Source organism: Homo sapiens, chromosome 1 (genome assembly GCF_000001405.40).
Source record: "Homo sapiens chromosome 1, GRCh38.p14 Primary Assembly".
NCBI classification, from domain to species: Eukaryota; Metazoa; Chordata; class Mammalia; order Primates; family Hominidae; genus Homo; species Homo sapiens.
The window spans coordinates 204,274,822-204,296,963 of NC_000001.11; the positions used below are offsets into that span (position 1 = coordinate 204,274,822).

General features: G+C 48.2%; 1 protein-coding gene across 28 annotated transcripts in view, besides 5 other annotated features; it reads right to left on the minus strand.

The window, feature by feature from the left end:
• The window catches only part of PLEKHA6 (pleckstrin homology domain containing A6), a 159,316-nt gene that overhangs the window by 55,969 nt on the left and 81,205 nt on the right, over positions 1-22,142 (minus strand). For 3 of the 28 annotated variants that reach the window (XM_047449468.1, XM_017000690.3, XM_047449466.1), the window contains exon 1: positions 2,175-13,337. The exons of 24 other annotated variants lie outside the window; for them this stretch is intronic. In XM_047449468.1, the coding sequence (XP_047305424.1) occupies positions 2,175-2,206 (32 nt within the window). In that variant the 5' untranslated portion in view covers positions 2,207-13,337. Of the gene's footprint in view, positions 1-2,174; positions 13,338-13,519; positions 13,547-22,142 lie in introns of those variants that run through there. One more of the 28 variants, XM_047449469.1, reaches the window with a different exon arrangement.
• Positions 278-1,113: an enhancer, noted in NCBI's record as "H3K4me1 hESC enhancer chr1:204244227-204245062 (GRCh37/hg19 assembly coordinates)". NCBI's record gives its function as "activates a minimal SCP1, AML or CMV promoter by ChIP-STARR-seq in primed H9 embryonic stem cells {active_cell/tissue: H9 hESC(primed)}" and the evidence as "EXISTENCE:reporter gene assay evidence [ECO:0000049][PMID:30033119]".
• Positions 7,894-8,097: a silencer, noted in NCBI's record as "fragment chr1:204251843-204252046 (GRCh37/hg19 assembly coordinates)". NCBI's record gives its function as "represses an EF-1alpha promoter that drives an FKBP-Casp9 reporter gene in an ReSE screen in both phorbol 12-myristate 13-acetate-treated (for megakaryocytic differentiation) and untreated K562 erythroleukemia cells {active_cell/tissue: K562 | K562(+PMA)}" and the evidence as "EXISTENCE:reporter gene assay evidence [ECO:0000049][PMID:32094911]".
• Positions 8,682-9,183: an enhancer, noted in NCBI's record as "H3K27ac hESC enhancer chr1:204252631-204253132 (GRCh37/hg19 assembly coordinates)". NCBI's record gives its function as "activates a minimal SCP1, AML or CMV promoter by ChIP-STARR-seq in primed H9 embryonic stem cells {active_cell/tissue: H9 hESC(primed)}" and the evidence as "EXISTENCE:reporter gene assay evidence [ECO:0000049][PMID:30033119]".
• Positions 9,184-9,683: an enhancer, noted in NCBI's record as "H3K27ac hESC enhancer chr1:204253133-204253632 (GRCh37/hg19 assembly coordinates)". NCBI's record gives its function as "activates a minimal SCP1, AML or CMV promoter by ChIP-STARR-seq in primed H9 embryonic stem cells {active_cell/tissue: H9 hESC(primed)}" and the evidence as "EXISTENCE:reporter gene assay evidence [ECO:0000049][PMID:30033119]".
• Positions 20,507-21,398: an enhancer, noted in NCBI's record as "H3K27ac-H3K4me1 hESC enhancer chr1:204264456-204265347 (GRCh37/hg19 assembly coordinates)". NCBI's record gives its function as "activates a minimal SCP1, AML or CMV promoter by ChIP-STARR-seq in primed H9 embryonic stem cells {active_cell/tissue: H9 hESC(primed)}" and the evidence as "EXISTENCE:reporter gene assay evidence [ECO:0000049][PMID:30033119]".

Sequence of the window (22,142 nt, forward strand, 5' to 3'; positions counted from 1 at the left end):
AAACAGAAGAGTTGTGGTAAAGATGAAGAAGGCAGAGACAAAAGCCAATGCGTGGACAGACCCTGGGTGGTGACAGGGACAGGTGATCATGTAAGGAGCTTGTGCCTCTGTCCTCCAGGGGGATCCATGGGAGGCCTGGGCTGACATCTGGATGAGGGTGGGGGCGGGGTGGGGGAAGGAAGAGATGAAGCCTGGTCACCTCCCACTAGTCAGTGCTAACTACTTACTAGAGTTCTCTGAGGCTGGAAATAAGCCACACTGAACTCTTTCAGTGGTTATCCTAAGTGTGGGGAAGAGGGGTTCCAACAGCCAATTCAGCACATCAGGACCTCACGCATGGCAGGTTCTCTCCCAGGGACGGCGTCTGCCAGTGAGCCACATAAAAAAAAAGCTCCCCCATTATTTGCTGAAAAAACTTTCTTGTGACCTTGGACTCCTCCTCCTTCTCCTGCTTTTGCTCCGTCTCTTTCTTAAAAGGAAATGGGAGCTCAAAAAATTCCATTCTTGAGCTTGGGCTTGGACCCACCCACACCCTAAGTCCAGGGTCTCCTGTCTAAGGGCTGTTTGATGTCATTGAGACCTCAGGGGCTGTCAGGCATGAAGGTCAGTGCTGGCTCAACAGTCCAGTCTCATTAAGGGATGCTGTGGCCAGGAGAGGGGCAGGGCGTTGTGAGGATGGCCTGCCAGGAAGCAGAAGGGAGCAGGAACCCAGGGGTTGGGGGGTGGGGGGTAGGTGCAGAGGCAGATGGGGAGCAGCATCGTGGAGCCTCCTTGGGAAGACCTGCTGTGGCTCCTCCGGCTGGCTGAGTGTCAGGACAGTTCCCCAGGAGGCTCTCAGGGGAGATGGGGAGGAAGGCAGCAGACAGAGCGCAGAGGGGCTGATGCAGCGGTCTAAGCCATAATGGCAACCCCCAAGATGGATCCAGTAAGCGGTGACTACTTGGCAAGAATGTAGCAGTGGAGATTCAAGCATTCAGCCAGTGGAGGGACTAGATGAGTTAAGGGCCTTTTCACCCATTCCTCTTGAGAAATACTGTGAGAACCCAGAGTAGGTGCCAAACTCCCGCAAGGAACAGGCACTAGGACAGAGGCCACGGAGACAGGGCCACTCAAGCACACCCACAGCAAAGAGCTGGCTCTGCTTGACAAGTGGCAGGTCAGCCAGCAGCAGAGGAAGGAGATCTTAGCTTAGTCCCTTCAGTTGTATCAGAGAAGGAAAATAACCTTTTGGGGGCCCCCTTTCAATAGCCCAGGACACATCCCAGCCCTTGGGCTGTCTGCTAAAGCTAAAGATAATATCAAAGAGTGTTTTTTTTCAGTTTCCAAAGCTATCGTGCTCAGATGTAATCCAAAGACATGCAGGAGATAAAAGCACAGCAGGCAGTGCCTACAGTCTATGTGGAAATCTGGGCTTCGCAGCCCAGGCTTGCCAGCCAGGACCCAAAAACCAGGCGCGTGTCCACCAGGCCTGGGTTCTGAGTCTAGCACGTTGATAATCCACTCCCCACTTCCCAAACTTTATTCCCACCTCCCTCCCAGGTCCAACAAGGACACACTCCTCAATTTAATCACAGGGGATCTTTGCAAGGAAGGGCAACTGTTTCCCGTTACTCTTGTCTGCCCCTAAATCTGTCCCATCTGGTGGTCTGGGGGGCAAGCAGTCTGTGGCAACTACGGTGTCCTTTGAGGTGTCAAGTTGTCTGCTTTTTCTCAGTGGTGCAGGGCACCCGCCCCCTGCCCTGACCCTCCAGTCTCCTTCTGCTCTGTGTGTTCCCAATGGTAACTGCTGGAATCTTCCCTGCAGGCACTGGCACAGACACACACACACACACACACACACACACACACACACACACACAGAAGCATACACACACAGTCTGCTGCCAACCATCACAAGACTTCTAGGGAATGGCACATCTCTCCCAGCCCCAGACTTTCCTACCCAGCAACCCCTACAAATGACGTCCTCATTCTATCCCGGCACTACCAATTTCAAAATAGCTTCCCCTTCACAAGCACTGCAATGCAGCAACCATTGACCTAACTATGCTTCCTTCTCCAGGTCATCTCAAGCAGACCCCTCACTCTGAAGCCCCCGGATCCAAGCAGGATGAGCTGCCAACTCAGCTTGCTCTGACTTGACTTGGCTCATGATCCGTGGAAGACATCCCTACCTGACCCGTCGATCAGCCCGAAACTTCAACATCTTTTTGGCAGCTCCGTCCCCAGTTTGGCAGCCTCAGAGGACCCGCCGGCCACCCTGATCCTACCATGCCTCTGAGAAGTAAGTCCTCTGGTCCAACTCGTAAGGCTGTGGCAGAGATGCAGAGTGATTGGTGGCAGAGTCTCTAGCAGTTCTCCCTCCTCCTGGCTCTGGCTCTGGAGAACCAGGAGGGCACTCTCCTTGGGTGGTGGTAGGGGTCGCCTAGGTGCCCTAGTAGGCCTGTGGCTTCCTGGTATTCGGCCAGAATGCTACTGGTCAGAGGACTGGAGGCAGAATAAACAAGGAGGGGATGATATCCTCCCCATTCAGCACCCCAAGGAGAAAATGCTGAAATGGAGAGACAGGCATACACGGAGCAGGTGTAGCACTCCCAGGTAGTCCGACCTCAGTGAGCTAAGGACGCAGAGTAGCTGGACGGGTGAAGGAGTCTGGGGCTGCATTCCCATCTGCACGGCTGAAACCCATGCCAGCCCGACCTGTAGGGAGACAGTCCTCCTGCCTCCCCAATTCTCAACCCACAATACAGGCTCCTGAGCTGAAAATCAACTTGCTTCTCAGAGATCCTTCAGATCCTGTGGGCATAAGGGTTAAATGAAGCTCCCGATTCATCTGCTGTTATTGCTGCCGCTGCTGAGAAGCTGAGATTGATTGAGCAGTTCTCCCTTCTCTTCGGTCAGCCTGCCCAGCCTTCTTCTGTGTGGACAGGAGCATAATGAATGAAGGTCCTCTGCCCCTGTCCCTCCGACTTGCTCCCCTCAGACAGCACGGGGTTGCTTTCCCTCCCTGTGTGGCAGTCCTACCGATGAGAAGCAAGTCGACCAGATGGGCGTGGATGCTGTGGAACCAGAGCTGGTGGCTAGGATGGGGCTGCTCAGGCAATATTAAAGGAGAGCTTCCTCTCAAGGCTTGCAAGGAAGAGGGCAGCAAATGGGGCTTGAGAGGGGGTCACTGTGTGTTTATGGCTGAAAATCTTCCCAGACACGAGATGATACATTCCAGCTGGGGACTGTCAGATCTGCTCAGAAGCAAGGAGGTTTGTATCGATGTTAATTCCCCTGAATTCTTCAGCGGCTAAAGATGGTCAGCGCTCCCCCCTTTCCTAATGTCCTTCATGTCTTAGGATCCTTGGACTGCAAGGGCCTTCCGAAGGTCATCGCTGCCATCCCCCTGCTTCTAGGCAAGCCTGTTCTCCAATCAATCCTCATTAAGTTCCTTGGTTTTCTGTAAAGAGTTCTAGCAAAGGAGGCTCCAGACCCACTGCTATCTTATCCTGCCAAGATGTTCTTTTTGATATCACGTTTCAGTTCCTCTGGCTTTCTATATTATTCCATTTTGTCTTCACATGACAGATTCCTTTTTTGACCAACGTGGTTCTTTTTAGCAGCACCAGGCAGTCTGTTGACATCACAGTCTGTTGCTATGGCAATTCTGTGATGTCACAACAGACACTGAAAGGAAGGGGCTAATCTAATTTTTTGGATCGAGCAAGAACTTGATTGGGGAATAATGTGATCAGTGAATGGAAAAGCAAATGGACAACATTATTATTTAACCCATAATGAGACAAGTTGGTAGGATGTAACTGGGGTCAACCGCTGCTGATATTTAAACAGCTTAATCTTAAATCCAGAAGGTCAATATATTCAGCTATTTCGTGGGACTTTTGCAAATGATTTATCCTGGTGACAGGAGGCCTCGGTTTTCAGATCACATCCTTTCCCTGTCCCTAATCCAGTTTCTTGGGCCCTCTCCTGATGCCGGCTTGAGGTTCCTGCCCATACATAACAGGTGCTCGATAAATATTTGTTGAATGAATGAATAATAGAAACTCTCCAGCCCTGACTTAATTTTTAACCACCTGCATTTGGAGTTTGACATTCTATCACCGAGGGCTTCCCTATCTTAGCTCTCTCTTAAAATTAATTACTTCCTCTCCATGAGAGAAGCTTTGCTTCTGCCCCCTCGCCCCCTCACTCAGCTTCCCTGCCTAGCTCCCCCTTGAATACATAGCTTGGCTTTGATCCACCTTCAGTAGGACGGGAAGAAAATTAAGCTCATCTGCACAGAAGGAGGAGGGGGTAGGGGCGCTTTGGGAAAATGAGCTTTCTTCCTCTAGAAGGCAAAAATATCCCCTTTCACTTCAAGCTGAGCTCAGGGGCCTCCCACAGCCTTTGCTTAAGCTGCAAGTTAAATTACTTCTCCTATGCCCTGTAAAGATAGCACAAGGGAGTAGGAACGAAGGAAGGCTCAGGGGCTTCCCCTGCTCATCAAGAGCTCTGAACTCCTAGGAATTAAGTCTGCACACAGAATGTCTAGCAGCAGTTCTTTCCCTTTGCCAATAAACTGCAGAGTATGGCAAATTTTCATTTTAGTTAGACATCAAGAAGAACTTACAAGAGGCAGAACATTAAAAAGGGAAACAAGGACAGGTAATCCGTTTTCTCCTTCTTCTCTCCTTCCTTTTGGGATGTCAAAAGGCTTCCATTTGTCAAGGACAAATGATTATGAATCCATGAATACATACCCAAATGGACCTTTCAAATTCCACCCAAGAGAAGGGAAAATCTCAAGTGGTAAAGGAGATTGTGCGGTGGAGGTAGAAACAGCCCTAAACTCCAGAGCAGTCCAGTAGGTGGTCACTTATCCACAATGAGGGTGGCCCTGATGGCAGTGCCATCAGTGGAAACAAACATGGCAGGACCAAACATTCAGTCCAAGATCCAACCTGAGTTAGGAATATGACTTTATTTCTTGGGCCCTTAGTTTTCTCATGTGTAAATGAGGTACCTTCTAACTACATGAAATAATAGTGCTCACTTCACCAGCACAGACACTAATTCTATGAAATAATAGCTGTAAACTTGCAAGATATAGACCATTTTTTGCAGAAGAGATAATGGCTATGATCATTCTACTTAAAAACAAATTAAGATATATGCCAGATGAAGGAGCGAAAAAATGAAAAATACTTAGTCCCAGGCTTAAGAAGATCGTGTATGGGGCACAGGCTGGGAGTGCCAGGGGCAGGCACTCTGGAAGTCTCAAGAGCGATAAATTACAAAGAAAAGAAGCAGATCCTCTCTATTTTTCCAGGCCTTTGTCTCTGCACCTATTTAAAGCTTTCCTGTAGTTCAAGAGACATCCTCAACCCCTACAGTACCTCACATAGAGATAACTCTGCATTGCTTCATCTCCAAACATCCCCCTGGAGAGTCAGCCTCCACGTGCAGTATACCTGGCACTACACTGTCAAGAGTGGCAAAATTAATCCAAGTTTCACGATCTTTTGCAGGCATGTATGTTTACACATGCACACACACTCCCAGGCTGGATGCCCAGAACCCCACTGTGATCAATATTGAACGACTGGAGAAATACTCCACTCCTTCCACCCACTGGGCCTCTCTTGATTATCTGCTGTACACCAAGCTGCTTCATTTCCATAGCTCCTGAGAATCTGCTGACAAAGAATTAGCCCTGGCCCAGCTTCCCCATCCTGAGGACGCCTTGGCTTCCAGCATTACAGCTCATTAGGTGGAGAGAGGTTTGCATGCAAGGCAAGTGGAAAGGGGGTCCCATCCCTTCCACTTCCTTCTTTCTCCCAGCTAGCAAATTCCAAGCCGAGACTGTCCATGCTCCAGAGAGGATTTCTGCTGCCACAGAGGAGGGGAAGGTGGGGAGAAGGTTGGCTCCTGCTCTGTGCCTCCCCATCTGGATCTCATCATTATTTTCAAGGAGGCTTATCTGCTTCAGCATCCTGTCCCAATTAAAAACCAACTCAGTTTATGTTTCCAGCCATCTTCATGCACCTGATTCCTGAAGCTCCCCCTGCCATTTCCAGGAGAAAATACACTTTCCTAGCCACTTCTCATCAGAGGCCCTCTGTTTTCCTACCTATTGCTGCCACATAAAGAAGAGGTCAAAGAGGGTCAGGCCCTGGCAGCACTTCTAGGTATTTGCAGGTGGGAAGGAACCCCTCCAAACAACACTGCCTTAGCCAGGCATGGTAGCACATGTCTGTAGTCCCAGCTACTCAGAGGCAGAGGCAGGAGGATCACTTGAGCCCAGGAGGTCGAGACTGCAGTGAACTATGATCACACCACTGCACCCCAACCTGAGGCACAAGACCCTCGTCACTAAAAAACAACAGAGCAAGGCCCCCATCTCTAAAAAAAACCAAAAACAAACAAACAAAAAAGGCCGGGGGCGGTGGCTCACACCTGTCACCCCAGCACTTTGGGAGGCAGAGGCGGGCAGATCACGAGGTCAGGAGATCAAGACCATCCTGGCTAACACAGTGAAACCCTGTCTCTACTAAAAATACAAAAAATTAGCCGGGCCTGGTGGCGGGCACCTGTAGTCCCAGCTACTCAGGAGGCTGAGGCAGGAGAATGGCGTGAACCCAGGAGGTGGAGCTTGCAGTGAGCCGAGATTGCGCCACTGCACTCCAGCCTGGGCAACAGACAGAGATTCCGTCTCAAAAAAACAAAAAAAACAGAGTAAGACCCCTGTCTCTAAAAAACAACAGAGCAAGACCCTCCTGTCTCTAAAAACAACAACCCCTACTGTCTCTCTTCCATGTGCTCCTTGAAGATCAAAATACCAGTTCTCTGGGTGCTGGGAACCAGCTGCCAGTGGCTGTCACCCAGCCTTGTATTTGCTTTCACCTTTCTTCTCTGCCCTTGCTCATCCCCCCTTTGATGCCACAGTTATTTCCAAACTGTCAAGAAGATGGTACCTCCCTGCCCCAAGCCAGTTTATTGAAATGTTCTAAGCTACTCGGCTGCATGTCTAGGAGACAAGACTCATGCTGCTCCCTTTCCTGCTTCACTCTGCCCAGCCACACCGCACCCCCAGCCCCATCCCAAAACCTGTTATGGGCAGTTATGGAAGGCTGGGGGCCTTCTACGTGAGCTCAGCTCCCACCACAGGCAGAAGATAGAAGAGATGGCTCCGTGGACAAGGGAGAGAAATCACAAATCAGGGGGCCAGGTCCAGGTTTCTTCCCTTCCAGCTCAGGTGCTGTCCTTCCCCCATTTTCTCACTGTAGTGTCTCCCAGCCCCTGCTCTGGGCCTGGGTGGTCCCTTATTCCTATGAGAGGAGATAGGAAGGCCTAAGATGGCAGACTGAGGGCAGGAGGACAAGGTGTACTTCAGTCAGGGTAACGGGTTCAAGCTCATGTGTGTGCACGCACGTGTGTGTGCATGAGAGAAAACATGGATACTATACAGGGGAACTTCATCCTGACCTCCCACCCTAGCTTGGTTCATCTTTAAACTGGTTGTTTTACTTTAGGGAATTCCATCTGTCTGCTGAAAAATGAAGACAACCAGAGTAGATAGCATAACTCTGCCAGTGATTCAAATACTGAAGCTCTTCCATGTTGGTGGGTGAAAAGCTGCTCCCCCAAGTCCCTCGAGTGTCCCTGCCCCATCTCTGGGCCAGGGTCTGAGACCTCCTCACATCTCCATGACCCAGAGACAAAAGAGTTAATGCCTGGCACCACAGGGCCCTCCAAGACTCCAGGCCAGCATCCTTTCTGGTTGATGAATTATTGAATATCATTCCCGGGTACAGCCAGTCCTTAACTGTCTCAACACTGAAGTGTCTTCCAATTGTGGGGAACTGCGATTCTACCACCCAGAAGCTGCCATGGGCAGGCTGGGAGACACTTTCTCCTTCACCCTGACCCAAATTGGAGAACTGGGGCAATCCAGCTCCCTGGAGCTCCTCCTTGTGCTGTGTGCTCTTGTTCCCTTCTAAAGAGAGGGGGAATTCAAAGGAGAACCAGCTGCCTACAGCTCTGGGTTTTCCTCCTCTCAGCCTTTCCTCAGTAGCTAAGCCAGACAGAAGCAGAGAAAAAAGGCCCCAGCCCCCTCGCCTCCAAGTTGCCTTCTCCTGACAGCCAGCAATGTGGAACGGATCCCAAGGGGTAACAGGGCAGGGCAATAATTAATTATGCCCCCCCACCGCCCCGCCGCCTTCCAGCTCTGAGTTGAATCTCAAACCCCTGCCCTTCAGTGGCTGAGGCAGCCCAGCTGTCCGCCGCCGGGTCTATGGAAGGTCATTGAAACCATGTCTCTGCATCCCTAACTCAGCAGATCTGCTTCTGGTGTCCTACGGAGAGCAGCGACCCCACCCTGCCCCACCCAACGAAAGGAATTTTACAAAGTGGGTGTTTGGAGAGTTATGAAGCTGGCTGATCTCTCTCCTTCCCCATCCTCAAAAGCTACCAGTGCCTTCTTGGTTCCCAATCCAGCAATTTGAGAATCAAGCTGTCTGGTATCTTAGTTTTCTCATTTTAACAGTAAAACAATGGTATTGAGTGATGCCTTGTTGAGCAGACAACACAAATCTCCCACTGGACCAGAGAGCAGAGGAAGAAAGGTTATGATGCTCTGAAGGCATGTGGAATGAAGAGAAAAATAAAACGCATGCAATCTCTGGTCCTTACACTGGGAGGGAGGCAAGGAAGGCCCATTTTAGAATCAGGGAAGCTGAGGTGCATTGTCCCAGCTATAGTGACAGGAGAGGTCAGAAAAATTTGAGTCTTGGGCTCCCTTCTTTCTGTTCCTGCGATGCACCCAATCTGAGCTCCCTGCCCCTAGGAAAGCAGGAGAGAGCTTCATGGTTCAGGGGGAGATGCCAGCTTTTCAAGGTCTGCTCCAAGAACACAGTAATGAAAGCCACAAACTCTTTCACTGGTAATATCTGTGGGCTACAGGTCTGGGGACTGTGTGTGATGTGGGCTGGGGGCTACCCACAAACTTTAGTCTGACAACAGCTGCCTGGATGTAGGGGCATGGAAGGGCAGCCACACAAACACTGTCCACAGCCTGGCCTTTATTGCTGTGCCCCTGCCCAGCACCTCACACACAGGGGAACTGAATAACTGTTTGAGTTTGATGGAGCAGCTGTAGGGCAGGCCAGCAGGCTCACCACTGCCTGGAGGAGGGGGCACGTGCTGTTCCAGTTGGGATGCTGAATAGCGGCTGAAGGAGACAGGAGCTCAGCCTCAAATCCCTCTCGCCGGGATCAGTGTGCACAGTGCATCTGCTTCATGCCCCCTCCTGTCCCTCCCCTCCCTACTGGCCAGCCAGACTCTGATAAGAGTCTACAAAGCAGAAGCTTTGCCCTGGGAAGAGGAAAGCAGTAAACCAGCCAGAGCTGGAGAGCAGGAGCCTCCTGGCTGGAGGGTAGCACAGCAAGGGTTGAGGGGCAACAGCAGGCTCTAATGTAGTGCTGCTCCTCACCTGCCCAGGGAGACCCATTCTGCCTCCGGCCCCCAAGGAGGGCTCAGCTGATGTTCTCTCTCAGACTGGGAGTAATAGGGTAAGCTGGAGCCAGGTGGATTGTGGGAAATTATGAACACCTCCTTTTGCCAGGAGCAAGGAATCTGGAACTTCCCCTGTACTTGGGGAGCTTGCCAAGGACTCTGAGGGCAAAGCGATATCCCTGCACTGCTGCCTGCTGGTGGGGGATCCAAAGGGAGCCTAGGAACAAGGGCCACCCAAGGAACCAGCCAGAAAATGACTGTGCCTAGGAGAGCACTTGCTGCAGACTGAGACGATCCTTTGTGAGCTCCCCTGACGCCCCCGAGAGGAAGAGGGAGATCTGGAAAGGGACTGGAGAGTTGTGAAAAAAGCTGGCACATGATGGCAAGGAATGGACAGCGTGTGGATTGTCCTTAAGGAAAAGGGTAAGGCCGGTGGTCTCAGAGTCAGGAGTCTTGGTAACTGACCACTACTGAGTCACTGTCCCTTTCTGGGTCTCAGTTTCCCCACCTGCAACATGTAACGATACTGGAGTTGCTGGGAGGACTAAATATTTAAAACCTCTAGAAGAATGCCTGGCACATTGAGTTGTTTAGTAGTGGCTAATGTTATAATCATTAATAAAATAAGGGAATACAATAAATAGCACTATCCTAAATTTGCACCAAGTTGATAGCCACTAGCCGTATTCTATCTTGAATAATTAAAATTAAATAAAATTAAAATTTCAGTTCCTAGTTACACTAGCCACATTTCACTGTGTCTCAAGAGCCACAGTAGCTAGTGGTTACCATACGGGACAGAATAGTCACAGGACATTCCATCATTGTAGAACATTCTATTGGACAGCACTAGGCTAGATGTTCTCTAAGCCACCTTCCAGTTCTAATAGTTTTGAATTCTATGAAATGCAATTCTAAGCCAGTGTATCCTTCCACCAGCTGATGAGCTCAGTGTCTTCAGTAAATACAAGTTCCCTCATAGACCTAAACTAAGCTAAAAAGAAAGGAAAATCTGCTGTCAACAACAAAAAGTTAAAAATCAGAAATGATATACTCCAAAGTTCACTCAGAATTAATCTGGACAATCCATTGTTTTCGTTTTTTTGGGTTTTTTGTTGTTTTTGTTGTTGTTGTTGGTTTTTTTTTGGTTGTTTTTGTTTTTGTTTTTTTTGAGACACGTTCTTGTTCTGTATCCCAGGCTGGAGTTCAGTAGTGCGATTTTGGCTCACCGCAGGCTCCGCTCCCTGAGCTCAAGCAATTCTCCCACCTCAGCCTCCCCAGTAGCTGGAACGTCAGGCACGGGCCACCACGCTTGGCTAATTTGTTGTATTTTTAGTAGAGACACGGTCTCGCCGTGTTGGCCAGGCTCATTATTTTTAAATCACATGCATTAAGACTCCTCTGCACAGTTTGAAAGTATCATTACTAACAGCACTGGCCTGGTAGGAAACACTGGAAAAGGTCATCCAGCAGCTTAAGGAGGCTGGGAGAGAAGAGTTGGAGAAGGAAGAAGAGTTGGGGAGGAGGCTGGAGACACAGAGGACCTGTTCCTCCCTCCTGCTTTCCTTTTCCTTCCTGGATTGGCCAACCTCTAGCTGACGCTTGGGGGAGGAGGAGGAAAGGGAGGTCTTCTGTGGGGCCATTTGGTCCAGAGCAGGAGAAGCTGGCATGGAGGAGGACAGGGTAGAGGAAGTACCACCAAGGACAGCAGGCTTAGGATTCTTCCTTCCCTGCACCTCCCCTTCCCCACCCAGCACTCATCCAGACCTGGATCCTATGGAAATCACAGGTAAACAACCTGTTGCTAAGCAGACATCACAAGAAGCAGGTGCCAGAGAGCATCCACTGATAACCGGGGCTTACAGAGGGGAGGGAAGACAATCTCAGAGGAACGGAAGAGGTGCTCCTAGGCCTAGACCTAGCCTAGAGAACCTGCTGGCTATAGCCCAGATAAGGAAAAGAGAGGGCCTGAGAAGGAAGGCAGGGAGGCAGTCAGACAAGGGACACTGCTGTTCCCACCCCTGTCCTGCCACGCAGCAGCCGTGAAGAAAGACTGGGCATGGAGGCTGTGACAAGGAGGAATAGAGTACTCTGGGAGGGGAACAGAGAGGAGGAAAGGGAAAGGGATGCAGCACAGGTGCCAGCCGGGACAGAAGCCGGCCTCCATAAGTGACACCTGAGTAACAGGTGAGCCTGCCTACACCTGTTGGAGTATATGAGCAACTATTCTGCACCTGCAACTTCTGGCTGGGCCAGGAAATAAGACCAGCTGCACAATTTGCGGGCCCCTTGTGCAAAACTTAAGGATTTCAAGACAGCAATAGCAGAGCATTAAACCAAGCATGTGGGGCAACTGCACAGTTTGCATCCCCCATGAAGCCCCCCTGCCCTGCCTGGAAATAACAATCCCAGTATACTTCTCCTGGGAGTGTAGGGATGGAGGTTGGCTAGTCACATTTGTGGCTGACTCTCAATATGAGGCAGAACACAACAAGTATCCCCGTTCCTCTCCTATACTCTACTTCCCCTTCTTTCTTGGCCTCAAATGCCCAGAAACTTGGCTGCTTCTGCTCTCGCCCTGCTGGGTCTAGTGGCTGGCACCTTCCCCCTATTGTGCCTGGTTTCTGTTTGCCCATGGGCAGCCCAGCCAGAGGAAGCACCACAGCTGAAAGCCACAAGGGGGTTGGGTTTACCTTATCGCTCGAATCTGCTTTCTAAACTGGCACAGGGAGCACCCTGTTCCCACCTAATAGGCTCTCCAGAGCCCCGAGTTCCTCCCTAGGTTCAACCTAGCATCACTATGTCATCGAATCTCTTTCCTCCCAAGAAAGAGGCAAGGGAACAAAAGGGCTCCTAGCTGGGGGCGGGAGGAGAGTAAAGTAAGCACTTCCTTTTTGGTGACAGTCTCCCTCTTTTTTTTTTTTTTTAAATCACGTGGGCATTCATGAGTACACACACAGAGAGATAGCATCAGCTGAGAAAAGCCAGTGCGTCCACCTCCTCCTCCAAGCCAAGGAATTCTTGTCCACACCCCCTCCACAAAACTGTCATTAGAAGGTGCCAGGGTCAAAGAGCACAAATGTTTTGGAGGTTGAAGGGATGAGGGACCTGAAGGGGAAGTTGAGGGAATGGGGGCAACAGAAATCTAAATGCAAAAGGTTGGTTCTCTTTCTCCCTGGATTTCAGTTTTGTTCTCAACTGACAACCTTGTCTTCTTAATGAGTGAAGAGTTCTCCCCGCAACTCTCTGCACCCACCCCCGCCAGGTTCTGTCTTACCCTACATCTCACCACACCTGACTCTGCTAAGTAAAAGGATAAAACCAGGAGCACAGCCATGCCAGTCTCCTGTGGCTCTGTCCCCTCCACCTTCCTCCCGTGGCCCCATCCAGGAAATCGGCCCACAAGAGAGGCCGACGCTGCTTCTGACCAGAGCTACCGAGCGCCTCTCTGGAGACAATGGCTCAGAGAGAAGGAGGAAGACTAGCAGCTCCAGCTTTGTGCTCAGGGTGGCCACACAAAACCATTGTCTTGACATCAGGACAGACAATGGTTTGTATCTCTGGCTTCTGCGCTGAGCAGTTCACTCCCTTGGACTAAGATAATTTTAAAGATTTCCTTCTAATAAATAGTAATGATACTGGAATCTGGCCTCAAGCTGAGAATTTGTATCTGGTTGTAACAAAAGCCCACTCTGGCTGATAGAATGGGTATATCTAGGCTTCCTTTTCTGTTCCAGAGCCACCCAGACAAACATAGACCAGACAGATAACCACTTACTCACCGGCTCTTCTTTGCTGTTCCCTCTGCTGCCTCTAGCCCTGACTCCTTTCACACTGAGGAGTAGGGAGAAGGTTTTCCTTTAATACTCACCAGGTCCCTGGTGGGTAGCAATCATTAACAGCCACACATGCTGGCTGGCCTTAACCCCTTCAGTGCTGGGTTGCCTCAGCCAGCCGGAGCTGGCTGATGGACAGCCCTGTCCCTTCTACTCTGCCCTGAGAAAGTAGCAACTCCCACCTTGATGCCATCCACCTGAGTAATGCTGCCGCCTCCCATGTGGAGAAGGAGAGCCCTCTAGTCCCACCCAGGCCGCCCCGCCTGATTGGAGCACACTTGCAACCTGAGGCGTTTGGCTCTGGCACGATGCCCAATTGGATGAGCCCACATTATGAAATATTTGCCTGGCGGGCCAATAGAGGAACTGGGATCTGGGGGAGGGATGATATTGTTATTTATTCCTGGAGGAAGGAGAGCAGACAAAGATAGTCACAGCATCCCTAGCCCTGGGATGGGAAGCAGTGGGAAGGTGGTCTTCAGATCCATGGAACTGCCTCTAACTGCTCTGTCCAGGTAGAGTGAACTAATTCTTGAAGCTTTCTAAGCAATTTGAGCCTGGCTGTTCAGCTAGAGGGTTTGTTTTTATTTTTATTTTTTTACCTTAATGTCTCTCTGCGCCACTCAGAAGTTTGGAGAGCAGCACTAGGAATTGTAATAGAGATTAAGAGGAGAAACACATTGTCAGTCAAGGAACTGCTTCATATCTGCATAAACTATGCAACCACAGTTATTGTTTATAGTTCAAAGTTGCAGAAATTATTTTAGTGTCTTTGGAGGATACAGACGGAAGGTGAGCAAGAACAAGAAGAGATAAATTCCCTCTTTATCCTTTAAAAATAGGCAACTGATTTGGGGGAAATCTAAAAGTATCTACAAGCAGGACACATGCAAATCTATGCAGATGTGTGCAAATGAGCAGCGCCGGGCTTGTGAGAGTAAGTCCTTGCCAGGATTTTCCTCATTTGAGGAAGAAATTAGGTAGTCTCTAAACCCCATATCAGAGCATCTCACTAGAGCATAAGGAACTCAATAAGCCTATATTTATTGAGCATTTACTCCATATGAAACAGAGTGCCTTTAAGTACAGCCCAGTAGGATTTTTCTTTTTTACCATGATCATAAATGGGATATACAGAGAATACAAGTTCCCTCTCCCTACACACCCACAATTAATAGCCCCTTCTCCTTTCAGGCCCCAGAGGAGTGATTTGGCTACTCCTCCTCTTGCCAGCCCGGATTTAGTAGCTGGCACCTCCTCCTTATCACCCCTGGTTCCTGTTTGCCTATCAGTAGCCCAGCCACTGTGGCTCAGGACCCTGCTTTAAACCTGCCAGGGGGCCTTATCTTATCTCCTGGGCTGCCTTCCTAGCAGCCCGCGGGGTGGCTGGCTGGCCGGGTTCCTTAAAGGGGCTGCACTGCATTCCCACTTGCTCCATTCACCCTCAAGAGTACCCCAGAGATCTGGAGGTGTTCTACTTGTGTAGGGTCAGAATTTACTATACCACCCTTCCTTCCCATCCTTTACAGTCACAGCTACTGTAGAGCTGCTACTGAAATGATCTATGACTTAGAACAGAAAGATGCTCATGCTTTTAGAGCCATTGTAAATGTTTATCATGTCATGCAAATGCCCTGCCCCTTGATATTTTCAGGTTCCTGCTCTTTTAAATTCAATTTTCAAAGCAAGGGAGGAGAGGCTCAGGATACAAAGTCTATATAGAAAAATCAGTTGTATTTCTATATACTGGCAACAAACAATGAAAAAAGGAAATTTTAAAACACCATTTATAATAGCATAAAATTAAGGGATACTTTTGACAAGGGATGTGCAAGACCTATACACTGAAAACTATAAAACATTGCTGAAAGAAGTGAAATAAAATCCAAATAAAAGGAGAAAAATACTGTTTTCATGGATCAGGAGACTCAATATTGTTAAATTGTCAACTCTCCCCATATTTTTCTATGGATACAACACAGTGCCAACCAAAACCCTAGCAGATCTTTGTAAAGTTGACAAGCTGATTCTAACATTCACATGGAAATTCAAAGGATCCAGAATACTCAAAAGCTTTGAAGAAGAATAGGTTTGGAGGATTTATACTACCTGACTTCAAGACTTATTATAAAGCTACAGTTATCAAGACAATGTAGTGTTGGCATAAAGACACATATATAGATAAATGGAACAGAGTAGAGAGTTCAGAAATAAATCCACACATTTTGGTCAATTGGTTTTTGACAAAGGTATAAAGTCAATGCAAAGGAGAATGACAGGCTTTTCAATACATGGTGCTGTAAAACACATGAAAACAAACAAACAAACAACCTTGACCCTATCATTAAAAAATTAACTCAAAACGGACCATAGACATAAATGAAAGAGCTAAAACTACAATGTTTCTAGAAGAAAACACAGGAGAAAATCTTAGTGACTTTGCATTTGGCAAAGATGTCTTTAAAATGACAAAAAACGCACCATCAAGAAAAATCAATAAATTGAAATTTGTCAGAATTTAAGTTTGCTCTTCAAAAGACACTATTACAGGCCAGGCGCAGTGGCTCATGCCTGTAATCCCAGCACTTTCGGGTGCCAAGGTGGGGAGATCACTTGAGGTCAGGAGTTCGAGACCAGCCTGGCCAACATGGTGAAATCCCGTCACTACTAACAATACAAAAATTAGCCAGGCATGGTGGCGTGCACCTGTAATCCCAGCTACTCAGGAGGCTGAGTCAGAGAATCACTTGAACCCAGGAGGGGGAGGTTGCAGTGAGCCAAGATTGCATCACTGCATAGCAGCGTGGGTGACAGAGTGAGACCCTGTCTCAAAAAAAAAAAAAAAAAGACATTGTTACGAAAATGAAAAAGTAAGCCATAAACAGAGAAAATATTTGCAAACTATATAACGCACATAGGACTTTTATCTAGAACCTATGAAGAACTCTCACAACTTAGTATTAAGATAGCAAACAACACCAAAGTTATACACATGTCAAATAAGGTACATGAAAAGAAAACATCATTAGCCATTAGAGAAATGCAAATTGAAACTACTATGAGCTATCTCTACCCACACCCACTAGAATAGCTAAAATTAAAAGACTAACCATACCAAGTGCTGGCAAAAATGTAGAGGAACTGGAATGCTCATATACTGCTGGTGAGAATATAAATGGTACATCCTGCTTTAGAAAACAGTTTCCCAGTTTCTTAAAGAGTTTAAACATCCATGCACCATACAACCCATTGACTTCACTCCTAGGCATTTACCCAAAAAAAAGGAAAGCATATGTCCACACAACGACTTGTAGACAGATGTTCACAGCAGCCTTATTTGTGACAGCCCCAAACTACAAACAACTCAAATGTCCATGAAAACCTGGGTACAACGTATGTGTTACATGCATACAACAGAGTACTACTCAGCAATAAAAAGAAATGAATTATTGAAATATGCAGCATAATGGATGAATCTTAAAATATTTATATGGAATAAAAGGAGCCAGGCTTTCTTGAAATAAAAGTATTCATTTATGATTCCATTATATAAAATTCTTAAAAATGCAAACTAATCTATAGTGACAGAAAGCAGACGGGTGGTTGCCTGGGGCCAGGGTGGAGGGAGGGATTACAAAGAGGCAGGAAGAAACTGGGGAGTGATGGATATATGTTAATTATCTCAATTGTGTTTATGGTTTCACAAAATGCACCTAATTTTACCCTTTAAATATATACAATTTATCATATACCTCAATAAATCTATAAAAAAGAAAAGCCTTCAATTGAGACATTAAAACAACGACTGCTATTATTGGGCACACCCATTCTGTTTCACATGGTGATGGAATGAGGGTGGGAATGGGTATGGTTTCCTACTGACCTGCTTTAGTCTGACAGAAATGCTGGTTACAGGCAGAGATGAACATGTGTCCTGAATCCGCCTTTACTCTTCTCATGGATTTAGATCAAATAATGTAGCAGACCTGAATACGGTCTTCATCAAAATAAAGGATTATTTGTTCTATGACAGAAGGGAAAATATCAAATAAAATCCTTTACGGTTCACAAAGCACTGTCATCATTATCTCATTTGGTTCTTTTATGGTCTTATGAGGTGGGCAGAAAAGTGTTAGTACCACCCTCATTTTACAAAACAAAATCCCTGAAGCTGGAAGTGTTGGCTGAGATAACCCACCTCATATACCTGAGGCAAGGCTAACCTCGGGGTCTGTTAACCTCAGTCCGAAGCTCTTTCCTCAGGGCCACAAGGAGCTGCCCCGACCTGGCTGATGCCCACCTATGTCCCTCACCCGGGCACTATGTCCCTCACCCTGGCTGATACCCACCTGTGTCCCTCACCCTGGCTGACGCCCACCTATGTCCCTCACCCTGGCTGATGCCCACCTGTGTCCCTCGCCCTGGCTGATGCCCCCCATTTCCCTCACCCTGGCTGACGCCTACCTGTGTCTCTTGCCCTGGCTTGGTCTTTGTGGTGCTCACCCAGCACTGGGTGGATGCTCCTGGAGCATGCCAGTGGCAGCACCTGAGAGGCTCCTGGGATGGATGGAAACAGGGTCAGGACAGGTCAACTAAGGGGAGCACTGCAAGACAGGGAAGACTGATAGAAATGAGGGATGCAAAGTCTAATTAGATCACACATTTGATGTGAAGAGGGGGAATAAAAAACAACCAAATGCCACTCCCAAGGCGGAAGTCTGGAGGTTGTGGAAGCAGCTGGAAGCTGTTAGTGTTAGAGAGCTCCCGGCCAGACACACGGCTGCGTTCCAGGCCTCTGTACCCCTCCCCTCCCGCCTCTTCTCTGTACCCTAACCTTCCTCCTCCTGGCATGGAGCCCCACCTCTCTCCCCCAACTTGTTCTGAGGGTGGGATGACTGGGAGAGGGAGCAAGCCCACACTGTGGGAGTGGGGGAGGGAGCACAAAGTTTAAGGGGCATCCAAAAACTCAGTAATCAGACTTTTTTTTTTTCTTTGAGATGGAGTCTTGCTCTGTCACCCAGGCTGCAGTGCAGTGGCGCGATCTTGGCTCATTGCAACCTCTGCCTCCCAAGTTCAAGCGATTATCCTGCCTCAGCCTCCCAAGTAGCTGGGACTACAGGCATGTGCCACCACACCCAGTTAATTTTTGTATTTTCAGTAGAGATACGGTTTCACCATGCTGGCCAGGCTGATCTCGAACTCCTGGCCTCAGGTGATCCGCCCGCCTTGGCCTCCCAAAGTGCTGGGATTACAAGCATGAGCCACTGCACCCGGCCAATCAAGACTTATTTTAACGCGATATTTTTGAAATAAAAATTAACATTAAAAACCCATGATGAATGAAATACCAACATTTCAAATAAAGACAGGACCAGTATCACTGGAATTTCCCTTTTGCCTCAGCCTCCAATTTGGCTTAAAGTGGCACTGTTTTAGATCCTGTCTTTATTTCGAATGTTACTATTTTGTTCTTCATGAAATGTTTGCATTGATTTTGATTTTAAAATTATTGCATTGAAATGTTATTTATCTTGACTACCGAGTTTTTTGGCACCCATTTGGCAAAATGTAAGACATTTTGTACCTAAGGGGAGTGTATTAATCGCCTTACTCTAGTCAGCCCTGCTCAGGGATGAGGAAAGACGGGACAAGGCTCAGGAAGTCCCAGAGAGGATCCTGTGCTCTTTAAGAAAACTTCAATGCATGAACATGGAGAAAGGCTGAGGGACTTTCCAGACTGAGAGGAAAGAGACATGATCCTGAATTGGATTCTAATGACATTATTAGGACAACTGGTGAAATTTCAATATGGACTGTATATTAGATAATAGAATTGTATCGATGTTATTAAGTTTCCTGAGTCTGTTAATTGTACTGTGGTTATGCAAGAGAATGTCCTTGTTTTTAAAAGGAAAAAGAGAAGATGAAGAAAGAGTGGCCAGAGCGTGACAGCTGCTTGACAGCTGCATTAAGCCAAACACCCTTCTCTCTCTCCAGCCTGTCTCTCCTCCAATTCCAGGCCATCCCAGGAGGATACGGAGGAAGTGGTGATGGCAGAAAATCTTGTCCAGAAGATAGGGTACTGGAGGGCTGGTTGGACATTTCTTCTTGAAATAAGAATTAACCTTGAATTCCCAAATTACCCTTCACCCTCCCAGGAAAACTTGACAACTAGCACAGAAAGAAAAAGGAAATTAACACCTATCCAAGTCATGATGCTAGCGAATTCTCTGCTTAACCCCCAGAGATAGGTATTGCTGTCCTGCTGTTGCGGAGGAAGAACCTGAGAGGTCAGGTTATTAGCCCAAGGCTACACAGTTAGGAAGTGAGAGAACTGGGATTAGAGCCCAGGACACAGCCCAAAGCCAGCTTTCTTCCCACTTTATGTTAGTTGTGCAACTTGAAATTCCCTTCTCATGCATCATCCTACCAGCTAATCCTTTCGTTTATTTTTATTGAGTTGAATCCGCATTAGCCTTGAGATTTTTGGCTCTGGAGTCAGACTGCCCCAGTTCCAATCCCGGCTCCACCAGTTACTACCTAAGGGACTCTGGGTGAGAAACTTAACCTCTCTGTGCTTTCATTCCCCCATCTGTGAAAACGGGATAATATACGGACCTTCTTCATGGGTTCGTCACAGGAGTAAATAAGATTATACCCACAAAAAATTTATGAAAGGTTCTGGCACTTAGTAAATGTTCAATAAATGCTAATAATCATTATTATCTGTCTGCATCTGCCTTGGGCTATTTATCCTTAGGAGACAGTGGCTCAATTTTGATTATAAAACCCCTCACCACTTTGACACCTACAGATGGATGCTTAATAATTTGTTCCTAAAGAAGTTATCCATCAAGATAGTACCCTCTCCCCTGTACTTAGGAGCCAGAACAATTAACACCTGAGAATCTCAAATGTGAGGGAGGTCTGTTCCTAGTGTAATTTGAACTGGGAGGTGGGCTTTTGTGTGTGTGTCATGGTTGAAAGCAGTCCATTCTAAGGGTCAACATTACTGGACAGAAATAATTGACTAAGAAGACCCAGTTCTAGGCCAGGCGCATTGGCTCATGCCCATAATCCCAGCACTTTGGGAGGCCAAGGTGGGTGGATTTCCTGAGGTCTGGAGTTCAAGTACAGCCTGGCCAACATAATGAAACCCTGTTTCTACTAAAAATACAAAAAGTAACCAGGTGTGGTGGCACACGCCTGTAGTCCCAGCTACTCGGGAGGCTGAGGCAAGAGGATCGCTTGAATCCGGGAGGCGGAGGTTGCAGTGAGCTGAGGTCATGCTATTGCACTCTAGCCTGGGTGACAGAGGGAGATGCCATCTCAAAAAAAAAAAAACAAACAACAAAAAAAAAATTCTAGTGCTTATGCTGCTATCCAGCTGCATAAGGTGTGTAGCAAGTCCTTGTTCTCTTGGGGCCCACTAGACCTGAGAAAGGGAATCTCATTGCCCCTAGAGCAAATTATAGGACAAAAGAGCTGCTCATCCTGAGCACCTTCGGTTCTTCAGGGAAGCGCTCCTTCCAAAGGCTGCCTGCTCATCTGAAACCCTCACCCCATTTTAGAGGCTTAGATTCAGCTGGGGAGGACCCACAGCCCGAGAAGGAAAACAAACCAACAGATTATGCTTCTAGGTGGCCACAGCAGGCCAAGCCAAGGGCAGGGTGGCCAAAGGTCAAGCAGCAGTCAGACTGAGCCAACACGAGCCTCCTGTGACAAAGCCAGAGCCAGAGCAGGGCAATTTTCTAACTATAAACGGAAACTCAAGAAGCTCCAAACCGCACAAACACACGTGGGAAGATGAGGGTAAGGCACAGAAGCTACGGGGTGCACGCACACAGAGGAAGGGGCTTCATGACGTGCAGGCAGGGGACCAAGGAAGGGCATATGTGTCAGTGTCGTGGATGCAGCAACAGATCTGGGTTTCTGGGGTCCTGGAGCTTATACAATTTGTGGTGGGAGGGGCGTGGTCCTCATTAAGGAAAAGACTATAGGTACAAATTTGTGTGTTAGATATGGCCTTGGAAGGGGCCAGTGCAAGTGCATCCTCCTCCCCATGTGGATTTCTGAACACTGGTGCACACTCACATGCGTGTGTTTCGTGGCCTCCTGGTTCCCGTCTCAGCACTATTTCTCTTTCCTCTCACACAGTGCTTTGCCTGATTTTTTTTTTTAATGGTAGAGAGCATGAATTAAAGCCCCCACATCTTGGAATTCAATTCCTCTCCAACACATGTGATGGGCATTTAGATTTTGCATGCCTTCCCCTACCCTCCTCCAATGCCCTGCACCATCATCACTATCTACCAGAGCAGAGTCCCTCCCCACTCCCCTACTCGCTTTGCTGTGGGTAGCCCCACCTTCCCCAAAGGGCATTGCAGCGGCCCTCTAAGCTGCCAGAAGGGTGAAACCACAGCTCCCCCCAGCTGCCTGGCCCCTTGCATTCCAGCCCTGCACCCAGAGTTTGACCTTCTCTGTGGCTGGCTGCAGACGTGCTCTGTGTTACAGAAATAGTCCAGCTCCTGAGCCCCTCCAGGCCTCCCTCTGCTTCACTCAGAGACACCCCCACCTCACTGGCTCCAAAAGAGTCAGGCAGGATCAGAGAGAAGTGCTCCGTTCTCCAGCCTCCTCCCACACACTACTCAGAGCAGAGAGTGGGGCCTGCCTGTTCCCCTCCTTCTCCTTCCAGCCTCAGTACTCTGTGTCTGCAGAGAGCGTGGACGGAAATGAGAGGTTTGAGGCATCGCAGAGTGAAGGGGAGCAGAAAGAAAAAGCCTGCAGTACCATGGAAAGCTTATG